The 24,452-nt window shown below is 40.9% G+C and overlaps 1 annotated feature.

Annotated features, from left to right (window-relative positions):
* Positions 18,322-18,961: an enhancer, noted in NCBI's record as "OCT4-NANOG hESC enhancer chr5:116377831-116378470 (GRCh37/hg19 assembly coordinates)". NCBI's record gives its function as "activates a minimal SCP1, AML or CMV promoter by ChIP-STARR-seq in naive H9 embryonic stem cells {active_cell/tissue: H9 hESC(naive)}" and the evidence as "EXISTENCE:reporter gene assay evidence [ECO:0000049][PMID:30033119]".

Below are 24,452 nucleotides of genomic sequence, written 5' to 3'. Positions count from 1 at the left end.
AAATAATGTGAGTTCAAAAACGTGCTGTTAGATAAGAGAAAAATCATTTTTCATTCATTGATAAGACATAGATTCATTAACAAAGATGCACCAGCCGGTGCGGCGGCTCACGCCTGTAATCCCAGCACCTTGGGAGGCCTAGGTGGGTGGATCACCAGGTCAGGAGATGCAGACCATCCTGGCTAACACAGCGAAACTCCGTCTCTACTAAAAATACAAAAAATTAGCTGGGCATGGTGGCAGGCCCCTGTAGTCCCAGCTACTTAGGAGGCTAAGACAGGAGAATAACGTGAACCCGGGAGATGGAGCTTGCAGTGAGCCGAGATCGCGCCACCGCACTCCAGCCTGGGTGACAGAGCAAGACTCCGTCTCAAAAAAAAAAAAAAAAAAAAAAAAAAAAAAAAAAAAAGGAAGTTTCACTGAAAATAGTCCAGAGGGAGGGAGCAATGAGGAAATAATATTTTACAGGATGAAGAGGTAGGAAAGATTGAACTATAGCAAGTAGTGGGACATGGCTATTATACAATGCAGGTAAAAGTAAATAATGGGAAATCAAGTTGAAAGTTTATTAGAACTGGCAGATCTTGAGTGCATGGAATAGGTAGAGTTGGTTGTCTGCCCCGTCTTGCATAACCCAGTGATATTTAATCCTCAGACCCAAGGCTGAATTCTCAGCATCCCATGTAAGTCATGGCAGCATTATCTTCCCATTATTAGGGATTAGTTTAGGAGAAGCACATGGCCAATTAGATGAGAGAGTTGTCTGCTGTGAGCCTACTGGCAAATGTCATCTTGCTATTAAACATTAGAAAGAAATGTTCCCACTCCTTCCAATGTTGGATCTGCATATGATACTTGAAATTTTTATAGCTGTTTTGTCATCAACCTGAGGATGAAGCCAACAAGAGAAAGAGAACATGGATCCAAGAGAACTGCTAAGAAGCAAAGGTAGGGGCCTATCTATGAAATGTCTTAATATTTGTGACATAATAAGATCCAGTGTTGCTTAATTCATTTAGAATTGTAGGTTTTTAAATTATTTGCATCTTAAAGCATCTTAACTGATAGAGTCAGGCTAGGGAATTTGAACTTACCTATATCAGAGCAGATAATGAAGAAGTACAGATACTTATAAGTAGAGTATAAGTATTAGATTAATCTGGGCATGGTGTTTGAGATGGATTCAGTTAGGATGAAAGTGGATAGGAGAAGTAAGTTAGTAGATGATTATAATTATCTAGGTAAGAGATAATGCAATTCCAAACGCGGGTGAGGCCATGATGAAGATAGCTTTGAATAGATATGAGACAATTTGGAAATAAAAGTGGACGAGCAAGAATGTTTGCAAGTAAGAAAAAATCAGGCAATAAAGAGAGAAAGAATAAATTATTCTGGAAAATAAACGTGTTCTTGACCATTTCTCACTGGAATTCACTGTCAGGAGCCGCAGTTTATATGGATTCTTGGAAGAGAGTGCTGTAGATCATAGCAAACTGTTGTATTTAGCAGCAGCCTGCTTGACAACACCTCCTCCGACCTCTTTCCTTCCTCACTCTTTGTCCCTTACTCCAGTCTATAGGGTTGTACCCTCTAGTGAAGGAGTTTTACAGAAGCCTTTGCCTCGGGCTCTGCTTCCAGGGGAACCCCAAACCAAAATACTCTCCTAAAGGAAGGTTGGACTAAATAAAACAAAATTACTTTCCACATTTAAAATTCTGTGGTTCTAATAAACAAAACAACGTGCTTTCTAAAAGCAACTGCCCCACAGAAGTGGCATGACAATTTCCCCTCTCAAGAATATCATTAACAGTCAAATCCTATTACTACAGGCCAACAAAGGTCCTTCCAAGTTCCTTTGCTTCACTGCTATCCTGTTGAGTTTACTGCTTTTTGATTTCCCTATGTTGCTGGTCTTGGGCTTGAAAATGGCTTTCCTATCCTGGAATATTTGTTTTCATGATTTCAATGTGTTGGAATATATCATGTGTAAGAATTCTGGCACATTCTAAAGAGAAGCCTCAAAAAACATATTCTAGTTTCCAAATAGATTGGCTAATAAGAGTAATATAAATGAAAATGAAAGAAGGCAACAGGAAACAATATTGAAATTTCTAACTTAACCAAGCATAGGAGACCAGAACAGTAATGGAAACAGTCAGGGCTCTCAGTGCAGATAAGCATTTCACAGTCTGATCTACAGGCCCTACCAGTGCCATCAGTTCCAGGCATTTCAGTAAAGTATGAATCACCTCTCCTGTGGAAGTAACTGCAGTGAACCTAGAACTTAACCATTGCATAAAAAAAGCACAAAGACCCCAACTAAGGCAAGCAGTCATGAATGGCACATGTAATTCCTTGTAGGTGAGACTAGGTATATGGGAAGTAACTCCAGGATTTTACTCAGAAATAAAATATTGTAAACTGAACCACTGAGAAAAAAAATGGAAGGGTAAGCATGAACTTCATTCCTCAAAGGTATCAAATATGTAGGATATTTATTTCTTTAACTTCAGAGATGGCTCATCAAATCTGAAAATGAAGTTATTTGTTAAAATAAATTGATTTGAAATAGTTTTCACCTTTTTGAATAGTGTGGGGATTTTCCAGAATGCCTATGAAATATAAGGCATGTACTAGGTTCACATATCCAGAATTAAATAATAATGTTCTTGTCTCTACCATTTCATAAACAACTTTCCAGACACTGGAGACAAGCCCAGAGTATTCAAGAGGCTTTACACACTCAACACCCACATCTACAGTCACTTTTTGCCATGGGGGATCCTTGGTGGAGCTGGCAAGGACATTATTAGGCAGTGCAAGCATTCTCATGGATAAATAGCAACGACTATTAAGCACCCTTGCCTTTTTCCTCTGTAGGAATTTGTCTCCCCTTAACCCAAAGACCTTCTTTTCTTATCCTTTTTTGATTAAGGATCTGGTAAATTCATCTATAGTGGCATAAATTTATGATTAGATATTCTAATGTTGTAGCCCTCTAATACTAATGTATTGCACAAAGGGTAAATTATTACATCTCCCAGAAATGTAGTCATGCTTAATGGTGCCAATACATTCTGAGAAACATGTGCTTAGGTGAGTTCTTCATCCTGTGAACATCATAGAGTGTACTCACATAAACCTAGATGGTATGGGCTACTACACACCTAGGATATATGGTACAGCCTATTGCTCCTCAGCTACAAATCTGTACTGCATGTTACTACACTGAATCCTGTGGGCAATTGTAACACAAAAGGTAAATATTGTGCATTTAAATATTGAAAAGGTACAGTAAAAATACAGTATAAAAATAAAAAATGGTATACCTATATAGGGCACTTATGATGAATGTAGCTTGCAGGACTAGAAGTTGCTCTGGGTAAATTGGTGAGTGAGTAGTGAGTGAATGTGCTGGTCTAGGACATTACTGTACACTATTATAGTATTATAGTACTAGTATTACTGTACCTATTATAAACACTGTACACTTATGCTACACTAAATTTATTTTTTTTAAATTTTCTTCAATAATAAAGTTGCCTTAGCTTATTGTAACTACTTTCTAAACTTTGATTTTTTTAACATTTGACTCTTTTGTAATAACACTTAGCTTAAAATACACCTTGTACAGCTATAAATATTTTCTTCCTTTATATCCATAGTCTATAATTATTTTTCTGTGTTTTAATTTATTTTATTTGTAATTTTTAATCTTTCTTGTTAAAAACTAAGACACAAGCATACAAATTAGCCTAGGTCTACACAGGGTCAAGGTCAGAATATCATTCTTCCTCCAGAATTTGTCCCACTGGAAGATTTTCAGGGGCAATAACATGACATGACGCTGTCATCTCCTATGATAACAGAGCCTTCTTCTGGAATGCCTCCTGAAGGACCTGCCTGAGGCTGTTAACTTTTAAAAATATATAAATAGAAGGAGATAGTCTAAGATAGCAATTAAGTATAGCATAGTAAATACATAAATCAGCAACATAGTCATTTATTATCATTATCAAATATTATATACTGTACCCAATTGCCTGTCCTATACTTTTATAGGACTGACAGTTCAATACATTTATTTACACCAGCATCATCACAAACACTGGAGTAATGCATTGTGCTTCAATGTAGTGATGGCTACAACATTAGGCAATAAGAATTTTTCAGCTCCGTTATAATCTTATGGGACCACTATCCCATATGTAGTCTGTCTTTGACCAAAATGTTGTTAATCAATGCATGAGTGTATTTGCATGGTTTTTTCTATTCAGTGGGGAAAAAAAATGCCAACTACAAAATTACAGGCCTGCTAGTAGTGAAAAGATTGATTTGGAAGATAAAAAAGGGGCCAGTTGCCATATTCCTCACAAATAACACCAAGGATTTACTCTCCTATCCTGTTTTCACACGCATCACAACTCACTGGATTGCCTTTTCAGAATGACAAAGACCTAGCTGATTGTTTTTGCAAAAGGACCGCAAAATATTCATATTAGGGGAGTGTGCATTTTCACTCCACCCTAAGATGTCTTTATAGAATGAAGAAGGGAAATAAAGTGATTAATCCGCTACCATGCAATTTTCCTTCTTCTTAATAGAACCTCCCCACAAGAGATTCTTCCTTCCCCCCTCTACTTCCCTCTTGGGCTAAGAAGCATCAGAAAGCCACGTTTCAGACAACCAAGCTAATGGGGGGTCAGAATCTGAACAAGGGTCCTGAGATGGGCAGAGGGCACAAGTAGAACATAAAGAGAGGATAGGGCTTGATATCAAGCCAGCAGTTTGTTGAGCCAGAGGCTCCCTATGGATTCCTTCAGTCGTGGAGCATTCAGCACTAATGAAGACCTTATACACCAGGAAGTGGAGGCACAAAATGAAAAGATAAAATGTTTTTCAGTTGTTCAAAGCCTAGTGAAATCATTCCTCAGCCCAACGGCAGAACTGGAGGGGAGAATGGCTGGGCCCCATAACAGGTGCAGACAAATGCTGACTAGCAGTGAAAGAGCAGAGAGGAGAATAGCCCCTGAAAGCTTCTTCTTTTTACTGAACCTTGCTTTTAAGTGAAATGGTCTGGATATTCCCAACAATTCTGTTACTCGATTTTACTTACAATTTCAATTGTGTATTAGGAAATTCTTGTGGGGGTATTTGAGGCTGAGAATAATACTCTTTCTATTATACTTCAGAATTGTCATCTCATCACTGCCTTTTTAAAGTCAAATTTGTTTTACTTTTTAAAGAAAATATATTTTCCTCCTTTTATCCTGCTGCTTCCATCTCATTTTACAAAATGTTAACATTCCTTCATTATGTCACACATGGTCTCCAACAAATGTCATCAGAATTGCAAAGTTATTCAGTGTCTTGTGACTGTTTTGCAGTATTTACCCAAGTTTCCTTGCAGATCTATTCATGAATAAATTTTGCACGCTTTGTAACTGCATTCTCAGATATTGCCATTCATAGTTTTATGAGATACTAATTGTAAGACGTTGATGTTTTCCCTGTCACATATATGTCCTTATTAATTCTAGAGTATTTTAAGCAGAAAACAGCTAAATGGGAATAAAAAACAGCACGTAAACTAAGTAGTTGCCAGCAGTGAATGGCACACTTAATTACTGCTGGCTACGGTCCTTTAAACTAAAGAGATAACCTTTGATAATTAAACATACACACACACATATTAATTCTTTCCAACATATATCATTTCTAAAATACAAGGAAGTCAACATTCTTCCCAGTTCTATCAAATTTATGATCCTTTTATTTCCGGTTTAAGTCTGGTAGACCATTCAGGTTTTATGTTTAAGCTCAGTGCTAATGCCTCTCTCATCCGCACTCTTGACTCAAGGAAATGACCAGGAGCAATTGCTAAGTAAGTACAGGGTCCATCAGCGAGTCTAACTGGCTTGCTTCCCAGATGCTCCTGCCATCTGTTGGAAATGTAGCCCAATAGAAACAGAAGGTAGACTTAAAAATACACTTTTCCCCGTGTCTTTTAAAAAGTGTGTTTATCACGCTTTAATAATTAGCCATGTAAACAGGCTTTAAATCATGGCCTCAGATACTAAAGTAAACACTGGTCCTCCACTTGGCCATGGTAGGGGAGCTTTGCATCATGATATATTTAAACAAATCTTCAGTCTCCTTGTCTCCTTGTTCCATAAAATATGACATTGGCTATTAAAACAATAAGTCATACAGAGCAAAATGCAAGATGGGGGAATAGTTTTGCAGAAGAAAGAGGTCAACTAAGGGAGAAAGAATGAGACAAAAGGCACTTTGTGAGCCAAAAAGGAACTATTTTCTCTCACCACATGATATGTAGCTCTTGGTAGAAGTCACTGTTGAAATTTAGATAAATTTACATAAAGTAGTATTCAATATCATGCTCATACACTTAATAAATTAATGGAGATTTTTAGCACTCATTGTATTTTCTGAACCAAAGGAGATGCAAAGCACATTGGACTTCACTCCTGCCCAAAATACCATATAAATCAACAGAGCCCTAGAACAGTCATCCTCAGACTGTGCATCAGAATTAGCACACATTTCTGGCTACAGGATTTCTGATTCAGTAAGTCTGAGGGGGCCCAAGAATGTATTTTCTAATGATTTGCCAAGCCAGAGTGATGCTGCTGTTGTAGACTATAAAGCAATAAAGGTAAGAAAGTAGGAATTCCAGAAAAGCAGAGACAGGAAGAGAAAGCCTTTGAGATGCAGACAGGAAGAGAAAGCCTTCAAGGACACTGAATTTTACAGCTGAATGGGACGTTAGCATTAGGAATCTCTAACTATAACCCCCCTCAATTAACAAGTTATAAAACAGAAACCCTTGGGAGTTATTTGACTTTCTCAGAGTCACTTAGTGGCCTAGTCCAAAACAAGAGCAAGGTAAAAAGTTTGGCTGCTTTTGCTATGACTCTCAGAACCAAACACATATTGAGAAATTTGATCACTGGTATGCTGGTTGTACTCTGTGGATGTTTTCCCCTTTAGAAAACTTTAGGAAAATGCACAAAAAGGGAGGAAAAAGAGTCTAATTCCTGGAAGTGCACATCCATGTGGACAGGTGAATTATAAATGTACTACCCATCTCCCTCCACCTGTAAGAGGCCTGCTTCAGAGATAGAATTTTGGAGGGAGGTAGAGGAACATGGAATACCAAAGAGAGAGATGAATAGACATAAGAGAAGATGGCGTTCTTCAGGGGTACATCATGACCTTTCTTTGAGATTCCTGGGCAGTTTATGTGACTACTAGGTTGTCATCAAAGAAGTCAACCATGTCTAGAGAAGACCTCCATCATGTATCCGAGTCTCTAGAGCCAAGAAATAGAGAGCTTATTTAACACAGTTGACAGCAAGTTACAAGACTGTCAGAAAGCCATGGTCCAGAGATGACCTTGAAGGAGGAAAAGAAGGCCTTAAGACCTTAAGAAGCCTTAAAGGAGGGAAAGCAGACAAAAGGTTGAGAATCTGGCAAACTATGCCAATAAACTTTAATGCTGTTATTTGTGTTTTTATATTAATTAAATATTTTAATAAAATATTTGTACTGGGTGTGTTTACAGGATATAATTCATGAAGAAAATAAGACTGAATGTTTCAATGCACAGATTTCTCAAAGTGGGAAATCCATAAAAAGTGTAATGTTAGCCTCAAGGTAGGAACAATGTTTTGTTCATTATTAAATATCTGGCACCTGCACATAGTAGTTGGTCCATACTTTTGGATTAAATTAAAGTTCCTTTAGAAAACTTCAGCATACTTTATCCCTAAGGAAGAAAATAAGGAAGGCGCTGTGGTTGTTTTTGAAAAAAACAGTTGTAAAAAGGGAGAATTAAACACTGAGAACCAGATAAGGTACTTGCAGTAGGAAATGAATAAGAGAAATCTAGAAGGAAGGAAAGATCATGGGAGTGTAATCAAGTGGCACTTCTATAGCCACTCAATTGCCCTCCTATCACCACCTAAAGTTTTCTGCTCAAGGCTTAAGAGATTCCGAATGTACGTTTATTAGGATCACCATTCTCTTAGAATTGGCACTCTTAACTCAAGCAAAGTGAGATATGCGAAAGCAGCCCAGTGATGTCAGGCACTATTATGTTCAAAATCTAAACCTGGGGTATGGGGCAAGCAAATGCTAATCGACTGGCTTCCCCCATCAGTTTCTTTTAGTGCCTACCTTAAAGTGGTCTACCTTTGCATCCTTTGCATATGTAGGCCACAAAAGGGCAAAATCCTATTCTAAGCTACATAGGGCCTGGTGCTCTGAGTATTCCAAAGGGCTGAAATAATCATCCCAACAGCAATCAATTCCCCTGTTAGTGGTGGACACGAATGCTGAGTGAGGTGGGCAAAGAGGACCAAAGTGAGGTGGGCAAAGAGAAGTTATGTAACAATGTTATCTTACAAAAACTCTAATGGTGTCTTTATAGAAGCCATTTCCCCAAAATACATAACACCAAGTTGTTGCTGCCTTTAATAGTAAAAGGTTTGCTTCCTATAAACCCTGAAGGTGTGCTTTGCGAATCAGTAAAACCTTTTAAAATGTCTCCAGCATAGCAAAACAAGAAATTCCCTCATGTTACAAACACAAGGATTCATTTACATGGAAGGAATTCCTTACCAGTCAGGGCTCATTTTTTCACTAATCAACCATTACTTAAATTTTAGTTGTGCATGAACCACATGCCCCTCATGTGCCTTGCACAGCAAAAGTTGAGTAAATGGAATCATAAAATTCCATCTTGCTGTGCAGCTCTCAGGCAGGCTGAGCAAATACAATGATGAGAAATGGGCAAAAGATAATACCAGAGGCTACCATGGTTCAACTGTCAGGCCTCTGAGCCCAAGCCAAGCCATCGCATCCCCTGTGACTTGCACGTATAGGCCCAGATGGCCTGAAGTAACCGAAGAATCACAAAAGAAGTGAAAAGGCCCTGCCCCACCTTAAATGATGACATTCCACCATTGTGATTTGTTCCTGCCCCACCTTAACTGAGTGATTACCCCTGTCAATTTCCTTCTTCTGGCTCAGAAGCTCCCCCACTGAGCACCTTGTGACCCCCTCCCCTGCCCACCAGAGAACAACCCCCTTTGACTATAATTTTCCATTACCTTCCCAAATCCTGTAAAACAGCCCCACCCCTATCTCCCTTCGCTGACTCTCTTTTCGGACTCAGCCCACCTGCACCCAGGTGAAACAAACAGCTTTATTGCTCACACAAAGCCTGTTTGGTGGTCTCTTCACATGGACGCACATGAAATTTGGTGCCGTGACTTGGATCGGGGGACCTCCCTTGGGAGATCAATCCCCTGTCGTCTTGTTCCTTGCTCCATGAAAAAGATCCACCTACGACCTCAGGTCCTCAGACCCGCCAGCCCAAGGAACATCTCACCAATTTTAAACCGGGTAAGCGGCCTCTTCTTACTCTCTTCTCCAACCTCTCTCACTGTCCCTCAACCACTTTCTCCTTTCCACTCTTCAATCTCTCCCTTCTCTTAATTTCAATTCCTTTCATTTTCTGGTAGAGACAAAGGAGACACGTTTTATCCGTGGACCCAAACTCCAGCGCCGGTCATGGACTAGGGAAGGCAGCCTTCCCTTGGTGTTTGATCCTTGCAGGGACACCGCTCTGATTATTCACCCACGTTTCAGAAGTGTCAGACCACGCAGGGACGCCTGCCTTGGTTAGCGGCAAGTCCCACTTTTCTAGGGAAGGGGCAAGTACCCCAACCCCTTCTCTCTGTGTCTCTACCCCTTCTCCACCTTTCTGGGGGGCAAGAAACCCCCAACCCCTTCTCCTTCACTCTTAGTGGCAAGTCCCGCTTTTCTGGAGGAGGGGCAAGTACCCCAACCTCATATCTCTGCGCCCCAATCCCTTATTTCTGCACCCCAACCTCTTATATCTCTGTGCCCCAATCCCTTATTTCCACACCCCGACATCTTATCTCTGTGCCCCAATCCCTTATTTCCATGCCCCGACCTCATCTCTGCACCCCGACTCCTTATTTCCACACCCTGACCTCATCTCTGCACCCCGACCCCTTATTTCCACAACCTGACTTATCTCTGCTCCCCATCCCTTATTTCCACCCCCTGACCTCTTATCTCTGTGCCCCAGCCCCTTATATCCGTGCCTCAACCCCTTTCCCACTTTTCTGGAATGTAAGAACCCCGGAACCCCTTCCCTCCGTGTCTCTACTCTCTCTTTTCTCTAGGCTTGCTTCCTTCACTATGGGCAACCTTCCACCCTCCATTCCTCCTTCTCCCTTGGCCTGTGTTGTCAAAAACTTAAAATCTCTTCAACTCACACCTGACCTAAAACCTAAATGCCTTATTTTCTTCTGCAATGCCGCTTGACCCCAGTACAAACTCGATAGTAGTTCCAAATAGCCAGAAAATGACACTTTAAATTTTTCCATCCTGCAAGATCTAAGTAATTGTCGTAAAATGGGCAAACGGTCTGAGGTGCCTGACGTCCAGGCATTCTTTTACACATCAGTCCCTCCCTAGTCTCTGTGCCCAGTGCAACTCGTCCCAAATCTTCCTTCTTTCCCTCCCACCTGTCCCCACAGTACCAACTCGAAGTGTTGCTGAGTCTTTCTAATCTTCCTTTTCTACAGACCCATCTGACCTCTCCCCTCCTCCCCAGGCTGCTCCTCGCCAGGCCGAGCTAGGTCCCAATTCTTCCTCAGCCTCCGCTCCCCCACCCTATAATCTTTTTATCACCTCCCCGCCTCACACCTGGTCCGGCTTACAGTTTCGTTCCGTGACTAGCCCTCCCCCACCTGCCCAGCAATTGACTCTTAAAAAGGTGGCTGGAGCTAAAGGCATAGTCAAGGTTAATGCTCCTTCTTCTTTATCCCAAATCGGATAGCGTTTAGGATCTTTTTTATCAAATATAAAAATCCAGCCCAGTTCATCACTTGTTTGGCAGCAACCCTGAGACACTTTACAGCCCTAGACCCTAAAAGGTCAAAAGGCCGTCTTATTCTCAAAATACTTTTTATTACCCAATCTGCTCCCGACATTAAATAAAACTACAAAAGTTAAATTCCGGCCCTCAAACCCCACAACAGGATTTAATTAACCTCGCCTTCAAGGTGTACAATAATAGAAAAAAAGTTGCAATTCCTTGCCTCCACTGTGAGACAAACCCCAGCCACATCTCCAGCACACAAGAACTTCCAAACGCCTGAACCGCAGCGGCCAGGCGTTCCTCCAGAACCTCCTCCCACAGGAGCTTGCTACAAGTGCCAGAAATCTGACCACCAGGCCAAGGAATGCCTGCAGCCCAGGATTCCTCCTAAGCCATGTCCCATCTGTGCGGGACCCCACGGGAAATCGGACTGTTCGACTCACCTGGCAGCAACTCCCAGAGCCCCTGGAACTCTGGCCCGAGGCTCTCTGACGGACTGCTTCTCGGCTTAGCAGCTGAAGACTGACACTGCCCAATCACCTCAGAAGCTCCGTAGACCATCACGGACGCCCAGCTTCGGGTAACTCTCACAGTGGAAGTTAAGTCCGTCCTCTTAGTCAATACGGAGGCTACCCACTCCACATTACTTTCTTTTCAAGGGCCTGTTTCCCTTGCCTCCATAACTGTTGTGGGTATTGATGGCCAGGCTTCTAAACCCCTGAAAACTCCCCCACTCTGGTGCCAACTTGGACAACACTCTTTTATGCACTCTTTTTTAGTTATCCCCACCTGCCCAGTTCCCTTATTAGGCCGAGATATTTTAACGAAATTATCTGCTTCCCTGACTATTCCTGGACTACAGCTGCATCTCATTGCTGCCCTTCTCCCCAACCCAAAGCCTCCTTCGCGTCTTCCTCTTGTATCCCCCAACCTTAACTCACAAGTATGGGACATCTCTACTCCTACCCTGGCAACTGATCACATGCCCGTTACCATCCCATTAAGACCTAATCACCCTTACCCCGCTCAATGCCAATATCCCATCCCACAGCACGCTTTAAAAGGATTAAAGCCTGTTATCACTCACCTGCTACAGCATGGGCTTCTAAAACCTATAAACTCTCCTTACAATTCCCCCATTTTACCTGTCCAAAAACCGGACAAGTCTTACAGATTAGTTCAGGATCTGCGCCTTATCAACCAATTTGTTTTGCCTATCCATCCTGTGGTGCCCAACCCGTACACTCTTTTGTCCTCAAAATACCTTCCGCCACAACTCACTATTCCATTCTCCATCTTAAAGATGCTTTTTTCACTATTCCACTGCACCCCTCATTCCAGCGTCTCTTTGCTTTCACTTAGACTGACCCTGACACCCATTAGGCTCAGCAAATTACCTGGGCAGTACTGCCGCAAGGCTTCACAGACAGCCCCCATTACTTCGGTCAAGCCCAAATTTCATCCTCATCTGTTACCTATCTCGGCATAATTCTCATAAAAACACACGTGCTTTCCCTGCGATCGTGTGTGATTAATCTCCCAAACCTCAATCCCTTACAAAACAACAACTCCTTTCCTTCCTAGCCATGGTTAGTGAGGTCAGAATTCTTACACAAGAGCCAGGACCACACCCTGTAGCCTTTCTGTCCAAATAACTTGACCTTACTGTTTTAGCCTAGCCCTCATGTCTGCGTGCAGCGGCTGCTGCGGCTTTAATACTTTAATAGGCCCTCAAAATCACAAACTATGCTCAATCACTCTCTACAGCGCTCATAATTTGCAAAATCTATTTTCTTACTCACACCTGACGCATATACTTTCTGCTCCCCGGCTCCTTCAGCTGTACTCACTCTTTGTTAAGTCTCCACAATTACCATTGTTCCTGGCCGGGACTTCAATCCGGCCTCCCATATTATTCCGGATACCACACCTGACCTCCATGACTGCATCTCTCTGATCCACCTGACGTTCACCCCATTTCCCCACATTTCCTTCTTCCCTGTTTCTCACCCTGATCACACTTAGTTTATTGATGGCAGTTCCACCAGGCCTAATCGCCACACACCAGCAAAGGCAGGCTATGCTATAGTACAAGCCACTAGCCCGCCTCTCAGAACCTCTCATTTCCTTTCCATCATGGAAATCTATCCTCAAGGAGATCACTTCTCAGTGTTCCATCTGCTATTCTACTACCCCTCAGGGATTATTCAGGCCCCCTCCCTTCCCTACACATCAAGCTTGAAGATTTGCCCCCGCCCAGGACTGGCAAATTAGCTTTACTCAACATGCCCTGAGTTGCAAAAACTAAAATACCTCTTAGTCTAAGTAGACACTTTCACTAGATAGGTAGAGGCCTTTCCTACAGGGTCTGAGAAGGCCACCGCAGTCATTTCTTCCCTTCTGTCAGACATGATTCCTCAGTTTAGCCTTCCCACCTCTATACAGTCTGATAACAGACCAGGCTTTATTAGTCAAATCAGCCAAGCATTTTTTCAGGCTCTTAGTATTCAGTGACAGACTAATGGTCTATTAAAAACACACCTCGCCAAGCTCAGCCACCAACTTAAAAAGCACTGGACAATACTTTCACCACTTTCCCTTCTCAGAAGTCAGACATGTCCTCAGAATGCTACAAGGTACAGCCCATTTAAGCTCCTGTATAGACACTCCTTTTTTTTAGGCCCCAGTCTCATTCCAGACACCAGACTAACTTAGACTGTGCCCCCAAATAACTTGTCATCCCTACTATCTTCTGTCTAGTCATACTCCTATTCACCGTTCTCAACTACTCATACATGCCCTGCTCTGGTTTACACTGCCGGTTTACACTGTTTCTCCAAGCCATCACAGCTGATATCTCCTCGTGCTATCCCCAAACTGCCACTCTTAACTCTTGAAGTAAATAAATAATCTTTGCTGGCAGGACTATGCTGAACCTCCGTAGGCACTCTCTAATTAGATGTCCTAGGTCCTCCCAATTCTTAGTCCTTTTATACCTGTTTTTCTCCTTCTCTTATTCCATTTAGTTTTTCAATTCATACGAAACCGTATCCAGGCCATCACCAATCATTCTATACGACAAATGTTTCTTCTAACAACCCCACAGTATCACCCCTTACCACAAGACCTCCCTCCAGCTTAATCTCTCCCACTCTAGGTTCCCACACCGCCCCTAATCCCACTTGAAGCAGCTCTGAGAAACATCGCCCATTCTCTCTCCATACCACACCCCAAAAATTTTCGCCTCCCCAACACTTCAACACTATTTTGTTTTATTTTTCTTATTAATATAAGGAGGCAGGAATGTCAGGCCTCTGAGCCCAAGCCAAGCCATCGCATCCCCTGTGACTTGCACGTATAGGCCCAGATGGCCTGAAGTACCTGAAGAATCACAAAAGAAGTGAAAAGGCCCTGCCCTGCCTTAACTGATGACATTCCACCATTGCGATTTGTTCCTGCCCCGCCTTAACTGAGTGATTAATCCTGTCAATTTACTTCTCCTGGCTCAGAAGCTCCCCCACTGAGCACCTTGTGACCACCCCCCGGCCCCTGCCCACCAGAGAACAACCCCCTTTGACTGTAATTTTCCATTACCTTCCCAAATCCTGTAAAACGGCCCCACCCCATCTCCCTTCGCTGACTCTCTTTTTGGACTCAGCCCACCTGCACCCAGGTGAAATAAACAGCTTTATTGCTCACACAAAGCCTGTTTGGTGGTCTCTTCACACGGACGCACATGAAATCAACCATTTTCTAAGTTGTTTCCATTTGAAATCACTGAAATTTTGGAGACGTAATCAGCCCTTGTTGCTAGTTGTTATTTCTGTGTGGTTCATTGTGGTCCAGGCTCTCCAAGGGCACATCTGGTCACACTAATGGCTCTTCCAGGCAGGGCACTGCCCCATCTGCCAGGGCCTGTGGAGACAGGGGCAGGGCAGTTCTTGCCCCCAAGAGGCTCCGGGCCCATCAGCACAACCTTCTGTGGTCCTGGCTGTTTGCCTATGCAGAGAAGGGCACTGGAGCAGGGGCAGAGTGCTGTGGGTCAGCCCAAGGCATGGATTTAATGAAAGGTCTGCTGGAAGCCACATCAAACAGCAGCACGAGTCCACAAATCCGCTCAGCAAGGTAACTTGAAGGGCATCTGTCACATTTCTCTCCCGTGATGGCTAGCCCTTGATATACCCAGAAAGAACTCTTTGCAGCACTTTAAAATACTGACTGTACACCTCTCATATTGCCCACAAACAACTCTGAAACCATAATACAAGGCTTATCTCTGCTCTTGGGTGTCCACATAGCAGGTATCCATGCCCATTGAATGCACTTAGGAATGAATAGGGAGAATGCCTTTTGAAGTTGTGGTTGGGCAGAGACTATAACAGTTCATGTGTCACACCTGCACCTTAAGTCAAGCTCACAGCCAACTGGTAAACTTTCCTCCAGCTACGTTTCAGAATCACTCTATGGCCTGAACAGCTCAGGACATAAGGAATTTAAACATGCGATTTACATATACTTGCAGGTTTCCAAATATACGAGTTTGTGTCACATATCGTGAATAAATTGAAAGCCATTAGGTACTTTAAAAAATATAGTAGATTAATGTTCCCCCTCTCTGCCCAACTCCATAATTGTTTCTTTAAGCCTCTTTTAAACTGAAACATACATTCAAATAGTAATTTTTTTAGGTCATTGAGTAAAGCACATTTTATGCTTCCGCAGATCCACTTTGCCACCAAGGGAAGGAAACAACAAAACAGATTCAAGAACAATTTATAAGGAATTCTTAAAATTTAAAATGCAGTCACTTAGATAGAACCATTACCCCTGGTATCTTGGATGAGTAAGATATTAAACCAGTATCGAGATGAACAAGAGAATGAAGCAATCAGATTTTCAGGTTTAAACAGCTCTTCCTCACAGTATTGTTCCCAAGGAGAAGTGACGCTAAGCTAAGCCAATGACTCATCAGTCTCATATCAGAGACCCCAAGTCTCAAAGAAGATTCTTTCAGTGTACCCAGGATCTCCATCTTATGTGTTTACTAAAATTTATTTTCAGATTATCTGATTAATTTACATTCTTATTTAATGTTTCCAGTTTGCATTTACATGATTCATTTATTCTTAAAGTGACTGTTAATGAAGTATCCATAATGTGCAGGTTACTGAACTAGAGGCAGTGAGAGATGCAAAAAATAATCACTTGAATCAAAAGCAGAAATGTGCCTTATCACACAAATAGATAACCCACCACATATATATGCCCACTGAAGAAAAAAATTATTCAGTGATACTAGCACAGTCAGAATGACTTTATTTTGCACCATCACTATAGGTGCAGAGACCACTGCAATGGGATTTTGCCGTAGAGAGGAGAGATTGGGCTCAACTCCAAATACAGCATGGGCATCTGGGAATTTATAGCCAAGGAGCAGGGTGGGTGTTGGAGGATGGAAAGTTACTGTGAGGAAATATTAGGGTAATGGAGATTCATGCTAAAGACAGGCCAGGGTAATTAGACATCACCTGAGTGGTGGTGGAAGATAAGGGCCCCATCAGATATTGAGGGTGACTTGTTATTGAAGGTGGGAGGTTCTTTCTAAACTGACTTAGAAGGAGTCTTGGTAAAACTGGGTTTTACAAGGAGATACACAAATGAGCCTAAGAGAAGGCTCAAGGGTCTGACTAAAGTTTGGCCAAGCAAAGAATCTTTGTCAACCTCCAGGCCAGGTCCTTTTGTCTGTGGTCAGCCTGCTGCTCCCACCTCTCCATCTCCCATGGTTCTGTGATACTCTTTCTTATCTTCTTCTTCTCCTTTTTCTCCTCATAGTACTCACTTTCCCTGATATTTTTCTCCTCTCTTGACAAGTTATTTAACCCACTTGTTTTAGGAAACAAGATGTATTTAGTAGATAAAGGATATACCAAGGCCTGGTATTTGGTATTAGCTCAATATATATATAGGATGGATGGATGGATGGATGGATGGATGGATGGATGGATGGAGAGAAATAGGGACCCTATTCTGATTGAGCTCATGGCCTAAATAACACAACAAGTAATATGAATGCATATGTTTAATAAATCTAAAAAGTGACACATCATAAAGAATTAAGTGCAAAACACAAATCTGTAAGGTAGAATCAAATATACTATAGTTCCACCTGTAGTTATTGCAGGCAACACTAATTTTAGGACCTGAACCACACTGGCATCATCCAGCAAGTTGACATTATGAAGATATGGGAGTCTCACTTGATAAAGTGCAGGAGAGAAATTAAATACCGAAGTTCTAGAGTTAGAATGCCTGGATTCACACATTGCCTTTATCATTTGCTGGCTGTTGGAACTTGGAAAAGTATTAACTACAGTTTTCTGTTCCTCAGTTTCCAAAATTGTAAATAATGGCACCAACTTCACAAAGACATGATAAGGATGAAGTAGCATGATCCATGCACAGCATTTACATGTTGTGAGAAGTTACTTATTGAGAAGTTATTGACATTAGTAAAAATTATTACTGCAAAATAATGTACATGCGTAATCTCTCTCACCCAGATAAGCCAAGAAGAGACGTTGTGCCTGTGTCAAGGGTGCACATCAGTATCGCTTGAATCCCTACAGTTATGCTTCCCTCAGCAAATGTTTCCAGGGTGAAGACTGGTTAATGAACACTTGATTTCACACAGCTACACAATAAACCTCACTCAGGTCCAGTGAACCAGCCGGGAACACATGGGTCTTGAGGAAAGTGTCCTTTGCACAGAAGGAGAGAATTTGAAGAACACATACACAGTGGGAAATGCAAAAAATGCAGAAAACCCCCCAGAGATTCTGTGTGGATATGAAACAGTTATGGTGAGCAGTTACTGAATTGTTTTTAGTCACCCACATAAGAAGCTATGGCAAAGTTTAAAATGGAAAAGTTAAAATGTAAAATGTATGTATCAACTCCTGTGCTAAGGTCTCATACCCTAGAGGGAAACCTCATCTCTCTTTTGAGAAGAGGAAATTAATATATGTTTATTGAGTACTGTGATAATGTAAATTACAATCATGCCTCTCAACCAAAAGAATATCGATTCTAAGTGGTGATGGTGAATAAATCTCTGTAGAGGGCTGTCATTTTCAACTCAGTGGCTCTCCTTGAAGCTTTTTAAAAGCTTTACATTAAACTAAGCCAAAGGCAGATTCAAAAAATGATTTTAAAGAATTTATTTCAAAATGGATGAAATAACAATAGGTGAAGTAATAATAATTTCATAAATCTGTCTTGGAAGAAAACCAGCTAACTTACCACTTTTCAAATGGGAAAAGAATGAAAATTCTCCAGCACATACATAGCATTTTATGCTTCTAAAAATTAAAAATGGATGAAGTAGCTTTTTTTCTTCATAAAAGTAGGGAGAAAAGGTAATTTTTAGATTGGGATCAAGGCTTCCAGGTTTGAATCTAGAAAAAAATTTAAATCCCCAAAGCAATTGAGAATGATTTTTAAATATTTTAAACCTGCCTGCTTTTAACAAAAGGAACCCACTCAAACGACAAAAGGGGGAAAAAAGAATCTAATCAGATCTTGTTCCTGTCTCCAAAGTGGTGATTTTTCAAGCACTCGAGAAGAGTTAAATAAGGGCTATTACAGAGTTTCACACTGGATGATCAACAATGTAAATGCAGAAAGAATCTCATAATTACTGAAGGAAACTTCCAGCTGTGGGCAATTAAAGATTTAACATATTAACAATGAGAACCTTCCAAACATGGGGAAAAAAGAGGCAATTCACAGAACTTACGGTTTCCGCTAAAACAATGGTATAATCAAACATCTGACCCAGAGAAGTCAAGAAATAGTTGTGCTGAATGATCAGATGCACTTGACTCCGGATCAAATGCAGCATAAACTCAAACATCATCCCTAGTACCAGAATGGAGTTATTTGCATTTTCATATCCATAGAACATTTAGAAATGTTGACAGCTTATATCATGTCCAAAAGTGGTGGTGGGAAAATGTTCCACTCTTTTCCCTTCAATTCACATATGGGTGAGAAAATGGAATTCCTTAGGTCTCTAGATATTCATGACTCTAGTGCCTCAGGCTAACGTTTTCATTTCCCTTTTTTTTCTTTACAGTAACACTTTCCATTTAAGGGAAGCGCTTTTTATGGGCTATTTTATAATTTTTTTTTATCCAGTTCTTCATGAATACTGGTAAAATAAAAAGCTATAGTAATTTTAAACATTTCCAGGTTTGACCTGTTGGTCCACATAAAAGTCTAAAACTCATAATTTGGGAACAGTTATTTTGAATGAATAACTGAGTAGCTTTCAATGCACAATTTCTCTGTAATATACAAGTGTAGTGGAGTCCAAAATTCACTCACTCACACCACAATTTATATAGATCTCTTAATTTGTCGATAAATAATCTGATTTTCTCACAGAGCCCCTGCTGAGTAGTTAATGGGATAATTTAGTTGAGTAGCTATTCAACTTAAAATATAGTTTGGCCCAATCATTTAAAAACCTTTTAAAATAATATTGCTCAGCCCATTTTGAAATGCTCTATCTTTGAACCTCTCATCAGCAATACTTGGCATGTCTGAGATATGGGGAATGAATAAAAGATGTGACTTCTAAAATATGATTATAAAGAGAAGAGAAGACTTACTCAGTCAGGGTCCTTAGTTCCTCCCATCTTTTGGACAACACTAGCTAGTTGTACTGCTTCCTTCTCTTGTTTGGTGAGGGCCTGGCAGCAGTTACTGGCACACAGTGTCTAACCTAGGCCCTCATATATACAGAGACTCACAAAATCTCCACTGACTCTCCCAAGTGAGTGTTCCACTCTCTGCCTTGGCTATAGGATCACAATGCTTTAACCAATTCAGTCTCCATGACAAACTTCTTGCTTCCAACTCAGCTACATTCCTGGACATGTTCACGGGGAATAAGGACTCACGTGTCCTTGCTATGCCACACAGGAACTGAAAAAGGGCCATGAGACTGCCTCACTTACCTATCATGATTCACCTCGCTTACCTGTCATGAGGTATTCTGGACTCTCCTTCCCATAATCCCCTGAGAGTAGAAGAAAACATTCTCTGCCTCATAACCTGCTTCTCCTGGACTTCAACTCCACGCTTGTCTTAATGACACTGATAGTTAGGGGCATTTTCTCTTCACAATGGGACATCTCTATAATCAGAATGACCCAGTTCAGAACATGCTACCTCAAAATATGGTACCTTGGCATTTGAGAAAACAGCAGAAGCAGGAGATCTTTCTGACCTTCTCTCAACATTCTTCCCTGTAGCAGGCCATAAAAGAATTCTCTAACCTTCCTCGAAAGTAGATAAGACCCTCATTCCAGAGTGGTCCTTCCCCTACCCAGAAGAAAAGAATGAAGACACAGAGACACAAGTAAGAATCTAAACAAAGAGGCCTTGTTGAGTTTCCCCTCAACCCAGTTTATTACCATTAGATCATACCCCCTTTTATCCTATCATGCTTCTGTACAACTGTCCACTCTTTATCAAACCTAAGCATAAAAATACAGTTTTTCCTGTTTCTTTGAGTCTTAATTTCTGAAGACTCCCACGTCACCTAAAACTTATATTAAATAAATGTGTAGGCAGGGTGCAGTGGCTCAGGACTGTAATCCCAGCACTTTGGGAGGCTGAGGCGGGCAGATCACCTGAGGTCAGGAGTTTGAGACCAGCCTGACCAAAATGGTGAAACCCTGTCTCTACTAAAAATACAAAAAATTAGCTGGGCCTGGTGGCGGGCACCTGTAATCCCAGCTACTCGGGAGGCTGAGGCAGGAGAATTGCTTGAACCTGGGAAGCAGAGGTTGCAGTGAGCCAAAATCGCGCCATTGCACTCCAGCCCGGGCAAAAAGAGAGAAACTCCGTCTCAAAAACTAACAAATAAATAAAATAAAATAAAATAAAATAAAATAAAATAAAATAAAATAAAATAAAATAAATGTGTATGCTTTCCTCTTGTTAATCTATTCTTTAACAAGATATAGGGGGCTCAGCCCTGAGTCTAGCGAGGGTTGAGGAAAGAAATCTTTTCTCCAGTATAGAAGTCTCTCAGGCAAGCCCTTAATAAGTTACAGGAGAGCTCAAAATAATGTATCAAGTTATTTCTTCCTTCCATTTGCCCTTCCCCATCCCCATCCTAACTCTACCTTGTTTTCAAGCATATTGTCTTGCTCCAGAGATTAGGTAATCACTTTTCTCTGTCCTGGGGTGATAAGCTTCTGGGCTGTAAAAGTGATTCCTCTAACTTTTTCTCACACTTCAATGCAGTAGATCTTTTAGCTGGAGGTCAGCATGTGACTTTGAATCAGAAGATTCAGAGTCCAGACTTCTGGGTTCTAATTTAGGCCATTATTTTATTCTCTACTTTTTGAATACTTTCTAATGATATCTTCCTGGGTAAGTCACTTAACCTTTTCTGATTCTTCGTTTCTCTCTGTAAAAGAGAAGGTGTAATACATGTTCTTTCTGCATCTTAGTGTCCTTGTAAGAACGATATGATTTCCTGGGGTTGAAATGTTTTGTAGATAACTGTTAAATCAAGTTTAGCCTAAAGCTGCCTCTTCATACATTTTAAATTCAGCCTAAAAGATTCTTTGTATGTAGCAAACTGTAACCTAAATGGAGGTGTATAGAGGCTGTATGTAACCTACTCTTGGACCAGTCACCGAATTTGGCCAATCAAAGGGAATCAAATGTTCAAACTGTGTTCAAATAAGGCAGATGTCAAGCTGTAACCAATCCAGCTGTTTCTGCACCTCACTTCAGTTTTCTGTACATCATTTTCCTTTTTCTGTCCATAAATCTTCCACCATGTGGCTGCACTGGAGTCTCTCTGATTCTATTCTGGCTCAGGAGGCTGCCCAATTCATGAATCATTCCTTACTTAATTTAACTCTATTACATTTAATTTGAGTAAAGGTATTCTTTTAACATAACAAATACAGGAAATAGAAGCTTCTTCCTTCTCAAAAGGCAAAATCAGCAGATTCCACACTAGGCACATGTAATGCCAATTATTTGACACAGCACTTAATACCTCATTCTATTGGCAGTTTTGCCTGCAGAATCTGTCTGCTTAAAAAGACCTAGAGTCACATGATCATAGATTATTAACTATCACTTTATTATAAAATTGAATTGCTAGAATTTATTGAAATATGTTTCCTGTACCTTTTTTTTTTTTTTTTTTTTTTTTGAGATGTAGTCTAGCTTTGTCACCCAGGATGGAGTGCAGTGGTGAGATCTTGGCTCACTGCAAGCTCTGCCTCCCGGGTTCACGCCATTCTCCGGCCTCAGCCTCCTGAGTAGCTGGGACTACAGGCACCTGCCACCAGGCCCAGCTAATTTTTTTTGTATTTTTAGTAGAGACGGGTTTTCACCATGCTAGCCAGGATGGTCTCCATCTCTTGACCTTGTGATCCACCCACCTCGGCCTCCCAAAGTGCTGGGATTACAGGCATGAGCCACTGTGCCCGACGGTTTCCTGTACTTTCAAATCACCATTGAATGAGAACTGAAAATCGCTTATCATCTTTACATTTCTTTGGTTCACTGCTAAGAAACAGGCTTCAAATCAGGGCCTTGTCTCTGACGACTCTGCCAAGTCATGGGGTCATTAAGTCGTGTGGGGCATAAAGAAAGATCATAGATGGGCTGATGTTTTAGGAGACCTATGCTTTACACAGTGGAGGCAGTAGTCACAGTTCTGATCCAGAAGACTCTTCACCTAAAAAGAAGATCAAAACTGAGACTCACCACTCTAGTCTGTTCTAAATTGTTATGCACAAAGGAATGCACATGATTCAATTCTGTATTATTCCTTCTAGTTAAGATTCAAATCACTGAATAGTACTGAACAGAACACAGAATTGGGAAAAAAAACTTTCCAATTTTTAATGAAAAAAAGCCTTTAGTCTTTTATAAGTTTTTCCATGTAAAAAATCATTGTATGACAAGCAACTGAAATACATAATTTACCAGAAAAAATATTACCTACTAGCTTTAAAAAATATCAAGATGATGAACACACATACCATATATTTGTTGGTTTTAGAGGCAAAAGAGAAAAGAAAATCATTGAATATTTAATTATCTGAGACAATACCTTATTTTCTATCTAAAAAAACATGAGCTTTAGGGAGGAATAGTTACTTAAGGTACTATAGTTATCTTCTCTTATCAGTAGCCATACTTTCTAGTCATCAGTGCCTATATTCTAAAATGTATTTAATGATCTAAAAAAAGAAAAATCATAATTACATCTCTTTAAGGCCCACAAAGAGATATAACTACTTAATTCCATCTATGAAATATCTGGGATAACAATTCATTTCAGTTTATAGAATGAAAAATACTTTTAACTTACATTTTAAATGCATAGAACCAAGAACGAGAATGAAAGGCTATTCATTCCTTTTCTTCATATAGTAATGCTCATCTCTGCATAAGTTTCCTTTATAAATTTGATTGCCCTGTGATTTTTCCATAGTTTGAAAAAAAAATTGTAAAAAGAGAATAATTTATTACTTTTTCCCTGAATGATAAGAAAAAAAACAACAGAATTATCCTGCTTAAGCCTCTTCAGGTGGTTCTAATAATCAGGCAAATTTTAAAACCCCTTGTAGGGGAAGAAAGGTATGACACCTTTCCTCACTCATCATCAGGGCTATGGCCTACACTCCATAAAAAAGATAGGCTAATAAGAGAAAGACACAACAAATTTACTTAATCAAGTTTTATGTCACATGGGAGCCTTTAGAAATGAAGACCCAAAGACCCTGGAAAAGCAGTCTATTTTTATGCTGAGGTTCAATGAAGAATGGACAGTCATGTAGACACGTTAAGGGAGGAGACCATCCCTCATATTGTCTTATGCCCAATTTCTGCCTCCAAAGAAAGAAAAAGTAAAAACTAAAAGGCAGAAATGAAATCCACAAGCAGACAGCCCGGCGCCACACCCTGGGCCCGGTAGGTAAAGATCGACCCCTGACCTAATCGGTTATGTTATCTATAGATTAGACATTGTATAGACCAGCACTGTGAAAATCCCTATCCTGTTTTGTTCCTATCTAATTACCGGTGCATGCAGCCCCAAGTCATGTACCCCCTGCTTGCTCAATCGATCACGACCCTCTCACGTGCACCCCCTTAGTGTTGTGAGCTCTTAAAAGGGACAGGAATTGCTTACTCGGGGGGGGGGGCTTGGCTCTTGAGACAGGAGTCTTGCCAATGCCCCGGCCAAATAAACCCCTTCCTTCTTTAACTCGGTGTCTGAGGAGTTTTGTCTGCCGCTCGTCCTGCTACAACGTGATTGGACAAAAGGGTCTGATCCAATGGTAATGGAGTAAGCTCTGAAACCCAGCAAACCCTATCAGTTCATATTCTTCTTGGCCTCTCTGTGTAGCATTCCTTCCTCCTGGGTATAAGGCAGGAACCCTCTGGAAAGCGGGGGTCTTTTGACCTA

This window comes from Homo sapiens, chromosome 5 (assembly GCF_000001405.40).
Source record: "Homo sapiens chromosome 5, GRCh38.p14 Primary Assembly".
Taxonomy (NCBI): Eukaryota; Metazoa; Chordata; class Mammalia; order Primates; family Hominidae; genus Homo; species Homo sapiens.
Note: the sequence above shows the minus strand (reverse complement) of the source record. Positions and strands in the feature narration are given on the sequence as shown.